A 12,416-nucleotide genomic window follows, 5' to 3' on the forward strand; every position below is an offset into this window, starting at 1 on the left:
TGAAACAGGTTTTTACTCTGTTGCCCAGGCTGGGGTGCAGTGATGTGATTGCAGCTCACAGTAGCCTCAACCTCCTGGGCTCAAAGTATCCTCCCACTTCAGCCCCCTGAGTAGCTGGGACTATAGATACACGCCACCATGCCCAGCTAATTTCTTAATTTTTTTCTAAAGATGGGGTCTTATTATGTTGCCCAGGCTGGTCTCAAACTTCTGGCCTCAAGCGATCCTCCTGCCTCAGCTTCCCAAAGTGCTAGGATTACAGAAGTGAGCCATCACACCCAGCCAAAAATTATTTTATTTATTTATTTATTTATTGAGATGGAGTCTTGCTCATTGCCCAGGTTAGAGTACAGTGGCATGATCTCAACTCACTGCAACCTCCACCTCCCGGGTTCAAGTGATTCTCCTGCCTCAGCCTCTCGAGTAGAGGGGGGATTACAGGAATGTGCCACCATGTTCAGCTAATTTTTTGTATTTTTAGTAGAGACAAGGTTTCACCATGTTGTCCAGCCTGGTCTCAAACTCCTGACCTCAAGTGATTCGCCCACCTCAGCCTTCCAAAGTGCTGGGATTACAGGCATGAGCTACCATGCCCGGCTTATTATTTGCTAAATCAGCAGAAGAACTAAAGCAATAGATTCTAGATCTGTGCTGTTCAATACAGGAGCCAAATGTAACTACTGAATACAGTTGACCCTTGAACAACACAGGTTTAAACTGTGCAGGTCCATCTATACACGGATTTTTTTCTGCCTCTGCCACCTCTGAGACAGCAAGACCAACCTCTCCTCTTTCTCCTCCTCCTCAGCCTCCTCAACATGAAAAGGATGAGGATGAAGACTTTTATGATGATGTACTTCCACTTATGAAGAATACATATAATCTTCTTTATAATTTTTAATAACATTTTCTTTTCTTCTTTCTCTAGCTTTTTCTATTGTAAGAATTATGGTATATAATACATATAACATACAAAATATGTGTGAATCAACAGTATGTTAACAGTAAGGCTTCTGGTTAACAGCAGGCTACTAGTAGTTAGGTTTGGGATAGTCAAAAGTTATACATGAATATTCAACTATGTGAGGGGTCAGCACCCCAGCCCCATATTGTTCAAGGGTCAACTTGAAATGTGCCTAGTCTCAAATGAGATATGGTTTAGTATGAAACAAAAAAGAAGGTGCTAAATCTCAATAATACTTTAATATTGACAACATTTGGAAATGATAATATTTTAGATATAATGGGGTAAATAAAATATATTATTGAAATTAAAGCCAAACAAGCACACTACAAAAAAAGAAAATTACAGGCCAATATTCCTGATGAACATTGTTGCAAAAATTCTCAACAAAATATTAGCAAACCAAATTTAACAACACATTACAAGAATCATTCACCATGACAAATGGGATTTATCCCTGAGATGCAAGGATGATTAAACATATGCAAATTAACAAATGTGATATTCCATATTAACAAAGTAAAGAATATATAACATATCATTTTAACAGATGCAAAAAAAAAAAGGCATTTGGCAAATTTCAACCTCTTTTATGATAAAAAAAACTCTCAGCCGATTAGATATAGAGAAAATGTACCTCAACTCAATAAAGGCCATATGGGAGAACTCATAGCTAACTAACATCATACTTAGTGGTTAGGAAACTTTTTAAAAAATAAAATAAAATAACAGTGAAAAATTGAAACCTTTTTCCTCCAAGATCAGGGACAAGAAAAGGATGCCCATTTCCACCACTTCTTTTCAACATAGTATTGGAAGTCCTAGCCAGAGCAATTAGGCAAGAAAAAGAAATAAAAGGAATCCTAATAGGAAAGGAAGAAGTGAAATTGTATCTGTTTGCTGGCAACATAATCTTATATATAGAAAATCCTAAAGATGCCATCAAAAAAGCTGTTGGAACAGATAAATGAATTTAATAAAGTTGTAAGATACAAACTCAACACACAAAAATCAGTAGTGTTTCTACACATCAATAACAAACTATCCAAAAATTAAATTAAGAAAATATTCCCATTTACAATAGCAACAGAAAAATAAAATATTTGGGCGTAAATTTAACCAAGGAGGTGGAAGACCTATATGCTGAAAACTACAAAACACTGATGAAAAAGAAATTGAAGAAAACACGAATAAATTGAAAGATACTCCATGTTCACAGATTGGAAGAATTAATATTAAAATGTCTATACTTCCCAAAGCATTCTTTAGATTCAGCGCAATCCTTATCAAAATTCCATTACATTTTCACAGAAATAGAAAAAAAAATCCTTTAAATCCATATAGAATTACAAAAGACTCTGAAAGCCAAAACAATCTTGAACAAAAAGAACCAATCTAGAGGCATCCCACTCCCTGATTTTAAAATATGTTATAAAGTGATTGTAATTAAAACAGCATGGTACTGATGTAAAAAAAGATACCTCAAACAATGGAACAGAATAGAAAGCCCAGAAATAAAACGCACACTTCATAGTCAATTGATTTTTGACAAAGTTGCCAAGAAGACACAATGGGAAAAGGACAGTCTCTTCAAGAAATGGTGTTGGAAAAACTGGATATCCACATGCAGAAGAATACAATTGGAATCTTATCTCACACTAAATACAAAAATCAACTCTAAATGAAATAAAGGCTTATATATAAGACCTGAAACTGTAAAACTACTGGAAGAAAACATAGGTGAAAATCTCCATGATATCAGTCTGGGCAATGATTTTTTTGGATATGATGCCAAAAGCACAGGTAACAAAAGGAAAAATAGACAAATGAGGTTGCACAAAATTAAAAAGCTTCTGCACTGCAAAGGAAACAATTAACAAAGTGAAGAGACAACCCATAGAGTGGGAGAAAATATTTGCAAATCATACATCTGATAAGGGGTTAAAATCCAAAATATAGAAAGAACTCAACTCAATAGCAAAGAAACCAATAATCCAATTTAAAAATGGGCAAAAGACCTGAACAGACATTTCTCAAAAGAAAACTTGAAAACAGCTAAAACGTTCATGAAAAATTGCTCAACATCATTATCATTAGGAAAATGCAAATTAAAAAATGAGATACCACCTTTTAGAGAGGCTATTACCAAAAAGCTGAAAGATAACAAGTCTTGGTGAGAAGAGAGGGAAAGGGAACCCTTGTACACTGCACGCAACCTGTAGCACATTGAACACGTTGGATTTATTACCAGTTGCAGTGGGAGAGAATGCAGGCTGTTGGGAACCATGGGGAATGTCAGCATGAAAATGACAGAAAGGACTTGCTATAGAATCTGGATTTTTGGATTCTCTCTGAATTTGGCAGTGTCAAAAAGCAGGGGCAATCTTACAATTGCATATCTCATGAAGTCTTATTTACAGGGAGGGCAGGCTAGAGCAAGGCTAGAGATTTTCTTCTGCCTGTCATCCCTGAGACAGCAAGACCAACCTCTCCTCTCCTCCTCCTCAGCCTACTCAATGTGAAGATGACAAGAATGAAGACTTTTATGATGATCCACTTCCACTTGATGAATAGTGCATATATTTTCTCTTCCTTATGAGTTTCTTTTACTTTTTTTTTTCTTTTTTGAGACAGAGTCTCGCACTATTGCCCAGCCTGGAGTGCAGTGGTGTGATCTCGGCTCACTGCAATCTCCACCTCTCAGGTTCAAGCAATTCTCCTGTCTCAGCCTCCCAAGCAGCTGGGATTACAGGCATGTGCCACCACACCCGGCTAATTTTTGTATTTTTAGTAGAGATGAGGTTTTGCCATGTTGGCCAGGCTGGTCTTGAACTCTTGACCTCAAATGATCTGCCCACCTCAGCCTCCCAAAGAACTGGGATTACAGGCATGAGCCATCACGCCCAGCCCTTATGAGTTTCTTAATAACATTTTCTTTTCTCTATCTTACTTTATTGTAAGAATGCAGTATGATATATATATATATATATATATACACACACACAAAATATGTGTGATTCAACTGTTTATGTCATCAGTAAGGCTTCTGGTAAACAGTGAGCTATTCGTAGTTAAGTTCTGGGGGAGTCAAAAGTAATTTAAAAATTTTCAATTCTCCAGGGTCAGCAACCCTAACTCCCACATTGTTCAAGGGTCGGCTGTAGACAGACCCACATCTACATCTATGTATACAAACTGGAGCTAGTTCAGGGTACAATGGCCCAGACTAGTTTGAAGCTATTTTAGGGCAAAGCCCGTAGTTTTAAGCAGAAGGACTTAAACCCATAACATATGGGGAACAGTTGATAGAATTAAAGATGCCCATTGTAAAGAAGAAAAGATTTGGTGGCAGGAGTGGAGGGTGGGGTTCCAGTGGGAGTATAAATATAATGGTCTTCATATATTTGAAAGCTATCATATAGAAGGGAAATTGGCCTTGTTCTAAATGGCATATATAAGGTAAGAACCAGAACCAATAGGTGGAAGCTTTAAGAAAGCAAATGTGGACCTTCTAATGGAGGTGGCCCCATTTAGGTCAGACCACCACTGGCAGTGTCTTCGTGCGAATAATGAACAGCAGGGATTTTGATGGAGGGTATTTGAGAATCCACAGGATGATTCATCTAGAAGACCTTTAATGTCCTTCCCAATCTTAAAATTTAATGATGCAAAGAAAGATTTAGGAGGAAACTATGAAAACATGACAACTAAATGTAATGTGGGACCAAAGGTTGGATTCTGACCACAAAAAGAACATTCGTTAGGAAAATTGAGGAACCTCAAAATTTGAATAAGGTCTATAGATTGGTTAATAATATTGTATCAGCCAGGCGCAGTGGCTCATGCCTGTAATCCTAGCACTTTGGGAGGCTGAGGCAGGTGGATCACCTGAGGTCAGGAGTTCGAGACCAGCCAGGCCAACATGGTGAAACCCTGTCTCTACTAAGACTACAAAAATTAGCTGGGAGTGGTGGTAAGAGCGTGTAATCCCAGCTACTAGGGAGGCTGAGGCAGGAGAATTGCTTGAACCCGGGAGGCAGAGGTTGCAGTGAGCTGAGATCAAGCTACTGTACTCCAGCCTGGGCGACAGACGACAGACTCTGTCTCGAAGAGACTGTCTCAAAAAAAAAAAAAGTATCAATGTTACTTACTTTCCTAGTTTTAGTAGTTATATTATGGTTATATAAGAAGTGAACATTAGGAGAAGCTGAAGGAAGAATATATGGGACTCACTGTACTATTTTTGCAACTTTTCTGTAATCATAAAATTATTACAAAATAAAAACTTTTTAAACACTATCTCTGCTATTTATTAGCATCATTGTATTGCACAAGTTGGTTAACTTCTCTGACATACAATTTCCTTATTTTTGTAGAATAAAGATAAAATTCCTGTATTGCAGAATTGTTAGAATTAAATGAAAGAATATTGCAATGCACTTTGTCAGAGTGCCTGCACATAGTGACTGTTCAATAAAGGTGATTATTACTTTAAAAAAATTAAATAACAATATCAAAAACTTTAAAAACAAGTCTATAATACCAAAGTTCTAGACAATAGTGTGTTGCCCACCTATTCCTCAGGACTAGCCTCTCTGGAATTTACCTAAAATTATTGTTTACTTATTAAGTTTATCAAATGAGCTAAGCTCATTAGTGTACAAACAGAAAACAGTTTCATGTTTCTCTGATAACCCCTTCAGAATATGATACATCACAGCATCCTTCCCCAGCTCTGGGCAATATCTTGGGCTTATCTCATAGATTTTGAAATTACTTTCAAGAATGAAAACTCATTAAACATTTCTATTAAAAACTTCAGGCCAGGCACCGTGGCTCATATGTGTATTCCCAGTGCTTTGGCAGGCCAGGGTAGGGGGATTGCTTAAGGCCAGGAGTCCAACACCAGCCTGGGCAACATAGCAAGACCCCATCACTACAAAAAACTTAAAATTAGCTTGGTATGGTGGTGCATTCTTGCAGTCCTAGCCACTCAGGAGGCTGAGGCAGAAGGATCTCTTGAGCCTAGGAGTTTGAGGTTATAGTGAGCTATGATCAGACCACTGCACTCCAGCCTGGGCAATTGAATGAGACCCTGTCCCTGAAAATAAAAGGAAAGAAAAAAAAATACTTCAATCGTGTACTCAGTGCAGTCTCAGCCTGGTGTGGTGACCTACAGCATGGGAAGGAGGAACTGTCTGCTCTTCTTCCAACTCTTTCACATGGCTCCCTCTTGCTCTGCTGTGTCTGGGCTCTCCAGGGTCCAGTCAGGGAGCAGGGGGATTAAGGGAAGAAGGGCAAATATATCTTTGTGGCAGATGCTCTTGTAATACAGTATACCATGGCCTTGCAGTAGGAGGAGCCCAGATGCTGGCTCTCTCCAATGGGAAGCATTTGTGGGGCTTTTGAAGGCTCTCTGTGGGGACCATCTGGCTGAAAAACTCCCTTCAAAGTCAGTGCACTCTCCCACTTCTCCCAGAAGTTTCTTTTTTTTTTTGAGACAGAGTCTCCTTCTGTTGCCCAGGCTGGAGTACAGTGGTGCAATCTCAGCTCACTGCAACCTCCTCCTCCCAGGTTCAAGAGATTCTCCTGCCTCAGCCTCCCGAGTAGCTGGGATTACAGACATGCGCCATCACACCCAGCTAACTTTTGTATTTTTAGTAGAGATAGGGTTTTGTCATGTTGGCCAGGCTGGTTTCAAACTCCTGACCTCAAGTGACCACCCACCTTGGCCTCCCAAAGTGCTGGGATTACAGGCATGAGCCACCATGCCCAGCCTTCTCCCAGAAGTTTCTTGCAAATTTCTCAGCTCCTGCTCAGAAGTACAGCATATAACAGCTCATTGCTGGAGTCCCTTCACCCCATAGGCAGCACTTCTGATTCAAGGCCAGCTGTTTTCCATTGTAGTGCCTCGGAAACGCATGCCCTCACCACTACAAATTCTGGCTGTGTAAACAGGTTCCACTATGACCCTCTCATTTAGGATTCCCTGGTGGTTTCAACCAACACCCACCCCCCCAAATTCCAGACTCACCAGGCAGGAAGCAAACCCTAGTTTCCATTCATTTATGTCCCTAAATGCCGGAAGACACAAACCCACTCCTTCATAATCTCTCCTCCTCCACTCTACTCCAATCCCAGGACACCACAGGAGCCCTGAACTCTCTCAAGAGTTTCCCCAGAGGAAGAGAACAGGAAATGCCATGACACTATCCCTACCCCAAGGCCACTTTCTAATCCCCTTCCTCCTTTTCAGCTGGAGGATATGACTGAGGTTGATAATCACCATACTAGTTTTGCTGTCGCTTCATAATTTCTGCATGGATATGTCTGTGCTAATATCCTATTCAGAAATCTGGGGATAATTATCACCTCTTGCTCTCAACTTTGGGGATTCAGATAAAATTTCAAGACACCATGAAAAGTCCCATTTGATATTCTGTTACACTTAAAACACACCATGACGCTTTCCATATGAGCTCTCCGCCCTCGTCAGGGCTGTCTGCAGATGACACAATGGGAAACAGAGAAGCTGTGACTATTGGCAGAGTACTGCGTCTGGGCTGCTGAGATAAGACTTTTGGAAAGATTCAAACCACAGGCTTTTGCAATAGTTACACAATCACTTCCACCCCACCCTCAAGCTGAATGTCTTCCAGAAAGCAGAACATTCTTTAGGAGGTGATTATATAACTAAAACAGAAAAGGTTGTAACTGATGTGTGGGAATATCATTTAAGGGTTTGAAAATATATCAAATCAGAATGAAACACTTAATTAGGACAGGATAGCTTTTTATAGTTAAAGGTGATGCTGTAGAGAGGGGATTTAAATCATTCTGAATTACCCAAGGACTACCTTATGGAAACTACAGGGAAGCCAGTTTGGGACTCAAAAATATGCATTCATTCATTCACTCATTCATTCACTGAGTTCCTGCAAGGCTTCAGGCTCTGAGTTGGGGCTGATGTTGACGCAATGGTTAAGATTTGTTCCCTGCCCTCAAAAGAACTCAAAGAAAATCTCCATAACAGAATAAGGTGCCACCAGAGAAGAAATCATTATTCGAAAAAGATACTTGCACACGCATGTTTATAGCAGTACAATTTACAACTGCAAAATCGTGGAACCACCCCAAATGCCCATCAATTGATGAGTGGATAAAGAAACTGTGGTATATATATATATATATATATATATATATATATATATATATATATATATATATATATATGATGGAATACTATGCAGCCATAAAAAGGAATGAATTAACAGCATTTGCAGTCACCTGGATGAGACTGGAGACTAATACTTTAAGTGAAGTAACTCGGGAATGGAAAACCAAACATCGTAAGTTCTCACCGATATGTGGGAGCTAAGCTATGAGGATGCAAAGGCATAAGAACGATACAATGGACTTTGACGACTTGTGGGAAGACAGAGAGGGGTGAGGGATAAAAGACTACCACTATGGTGCAGTGTATACTGCTTGGGTGATGGGTGCACCAAAATCACACAAATCACCCCAAAGAATTTACTCATGGCCGGGCGTGGTGGCTCACGCCTGTAACCCCAGCACTTTGGGAGGCCAAGGTAGGCAGATCACCTGGGGTCAGGAGTTTGAGACCAGCCTGGCCAACATGGTGAAACTCCGTCTCTACTAAAAATACAAAAATTAGCCAGGTGTGGTGGCGGATACCTGTAATCCCAGCTACTCAGGAGGCTGAGGCAGAAGAATCACTTGAACCCAGGAGGCAGAGGTTGCGGTGAGCCGAGACCGCACCATTGCACTCTGGCCTGGGCAACAAGAGTGAAATTCCATCTCAAAAAAAATTTAAAAAGAGAACTTAGTCACATAAGCAAATACCACCTGTATTCCAATAACTTATGGAAAATTTTTGAAAATTAAAAAAGAAAAAGAAAAAAATTTTTTTAATCATTAAAAAAACTCATTTACATATTTTTTTAAAAAATAAGTACTGAGATCCCCTAAGGATCTGCCATATATGTATCCTGGAAGACCAATGAAGAGGGAGGATTCAAGTTCAAAGAGCAGGAGAAGAGAAGCAGTGAAACAACTGATCTTTAGGGTGCCTTCTATCCTTGCAAACCTGAGGCTCTGTTTGTGCTCTGGAACGCTCAGACATAAGCCATGATGTCCTGCTGGCTATGTGCTGAAGGAGCTGACTTGGTCCGTTGGATGTTTGCTGCACAGGAGGTTTTTGCAGAGTAGGACTGGCTAGGTTAAAAAAAAAAAAAGAAAGAAAGGAAAAAAAATAGCTCTCAACTTCTAGCTCCTCCTACCTAGCTAATCCCAGAGCATCTAGCAAGTGAGACAAGAGGTAGAGAGTGGGGCTGGGCATGATGGCTCATGCCTGTAATCCCAGCACTTTGAGAGGCTGAGGCGGGTGGATCACCTGAGGTCGGAGTTCACAACCAGCCTGGCCAACATGGTGAAACCCTGTCTCTACTAAAAATACAAAAAAAATGAGCCAGGCATGGTGGTGGGTGCCTGTAATCCCAGCTACTAGGGAGACGAGGCAGGAGAATTGCTTGAACCCGGGAGGCAGAGGTTGCAGTGAGCCAAGATCGCGCCATTGCACTCCAGCCTGGGCAATAAGAGCAAAACTCAGTCTCAAAAACAAACCAACAAACAAAAAAAGGTGGAGAGTGGAAGAAAAAGGCAGATCTTACCTCCTCCTTTCCTACTTCAAGCCTCTGGGAGAACATGGGAGGAGAGGTTTATAATTAGAGATGTGATTAAAGTTTTTATTTTGATTAAATAAAATTAATTTCAGACAGGCAATAGAACCAACAGTGCATAGTCCAACATCAGAGGTGTGTTCACTAAAATGCAGAGGACAATCAGTAACAGGAGTTCCATCAAGCAGACCTCATGCAGGCAGAGGGAATTCAGGTAGCTGGTGAGGAACGGAAATGCTTAAAAATGGTCTACATGTGCTTGCACTGAAACACACAACAAGGGACAAAGATTTGTGAAATGTGTCCAACAATGCTAAATGAGACTTTTCCTGCCTCTACATTGTGACTAAGAGAGTAAGATCTGGACACATCAAGAAATCCACCTCCAGCCTAGAGCCTATATATAAGAAAGAGTGAGGACAACAAAGTTGTCAATCCGTGGTATAAAAAAACATGCTGTTGGCCGGGGGCAGTGGCTCACACCCATAGTCATGATTACAGTCCCAGCACTTTGGGAGGCCAGGCGGGTGGATCACCTCAGGTCAAGAGTTTGAGACTAGCCTAGCCAATATGGTGAAACCCCATCTCTACTAAAAATACAAAAATTAGTTGGCATGGTGGTGCATGACTGTAATCCCAGCTATTCGGGAGGCTGAGGCAGGAGGATCACTTGAACCCGGGAGGCAGAGGTTGCAGTGAGCCAAAATCGCACCACTGCACTCCAGCCTGGGCGACAAGAGTGAGACTCCATCTCAAAAAGAAAAAAAAAAAAAAGAAAAGAAAAAGGAAAACATTCTGCTGCCTTCCCAAACCATGCAGGAGGAGTCGCAAGAGAAGCAATGGTAGAGAATGGAAGCAGACAGTCCCTGCCAAAAAAAGAACACCATCTCACCATCCTCTTACCTGCCTGCTTACTAAAAGGCAGAACTGGTAGACCCAGTGAGAAAATCTGAGAGTACATTAGTTTTCTACTGCTGCCATTAAAAAATTGCCACAAATTTAGTGGCTTAAAACAACACAAATGTATATCTGTAGAACAGAAATCTAGTAGGGATCTCTAAATCTAAATCTCTAGTAGGAATCTAAAATCAAGGTGTCAGCAAACTAAGCGGACTTCTAGAAGCTCTATGGAATAATCTGTCTCCTGATCAGTTAGGTTGTTGGCAAAATTCAATTACTTGCAGTTGTGGGATTGAGATACATGTTTTCTCTTTTTTTTTTTTTTTTTTTTTTTCTCAAGACAGAGTCTCACTCTGTTGCCCAGGCTGGAGTGCAATGGCGCAATCTTGGCTCATTGCAAACTTCACCTCCTGGGTTCAAGCGAGTTTCCTGCCTCAGCCTCCCAAGTAGCTGAGATTACAGGTGCCTGCCACCTCGCCTGGCTAATTTTTGTATTTTTAGTTGAGACAGAGTTTCACTATGTTGGTCAGGCTGGTCTCGAACTCCTGCCCTCAAGGGATCCACCCGCCTTGGCCTCCCAAAGTGCTGGGATTACAGGCATGAGCCACCACACCTGGCCGAGATACATGCTTTCTTGTTGGCTGTAGCTCAGGGCCATTATCAGCTCCTAGAGGCTATTCACTGACTTGGCCTGTGGCTGTCTTCCTCCATCTTCAAGTCAGCAATGGTGGGGAACGTATTTCTCATGTCATATGTCTCTGCCCTTTTTCTGTAGTCACATCTCTCTCCCTGACTATAGCCATCTAAAAAGGTGCCCCACTTTTAAGGACACCTGTGGTGAGTTAATTAGACTGGGGCCACATAGATAATCCAGGATAATCTCCCCCACTCAAGGTCCATAACCTCAATCACATCTGCAAAGCCCCTTTTGCCAGGTAAGGTAACATATTCACAGGTTCCAGAGATCAGGGTGTGGACATCTGTGAGACACAATTATTCTGCCTACCACAGAGGACTGACCTGTGTTCCCTGGAGTTCGGGAAGTGCAGAGACTGGTGCCTGATTCTCCCCTAGAAAAGTCCAAGAGGGAGAGGCTGGCTGGCGCTGTCTATAATGAAGAAGAAAGAGAGAGCATCACACTTTCAGAGCTTAGTGAGGCAAAATGCAGAGCAGATGCTGCAGAGACCCCACCCAAGAAGGCTGCTGACCAGTGTCCAGCCAGAAAGAGGTGACGTACTGTAAACTGCTGAAGTAGGGACGAGGGCATGTCATAAGAGGGCAGCAAGAGAGGACCTCACCATATCAGGAAATTTTGCGCTATCAGAGGTCTCCAACAGAGAGTCTCCAAAGAACCCACAAAACCCCTTATTGAAAAATTATCAGTATTTGGATGTTTGCTACACAGGAGGTTTTTGGAGACTAGGACTGGCTAGGTTAAAAAATATACATATATATAGCTCTTAAATTCTAGCCCTTCCTACCTGGCTAACCCCAGAGCATCTAGCAAGTGAGGCAAGAGGTGGAGAATGGAAGAAAAAGGCAAATCTTACCTCCTCCTTTCCTACTTCAAGCCTCTGGGAGAATAAGGAAAGAAAGCCTTTTAATTAGAGATGTGATTAAAGTTTTTATTCAGATCAGGCTGAAATTTATAATAGCTGAAACTATCCTGATCCCTAATGTCCAGAAAAACAAACGGCTCTGCCTGAGACACCATCCAGGATGTTGGAATGAAGTTTATTTGAGGATTTTATTAGAAGGCAATGGTGACAAAGAATACAATGGTTTCCTGCTGGAATAGCACCTGTGATGGTTAATTTTGTTTTTTCATTGTTTTTGATTGTTTGTTTTTG

Source organism: Homo sapiens, chromosome 12, assembly GCF_000001405.40.
Source record: "Homo sapiens chromosome 12, GRCh38.p14 Primary Assembly".
NCBI classification, from domain to species: domain Eukaryota; kingdom Metazoa; phylum Chordata; class Mammalia; order Primates; family Hominidae; genus Homo; species Homo sapiens.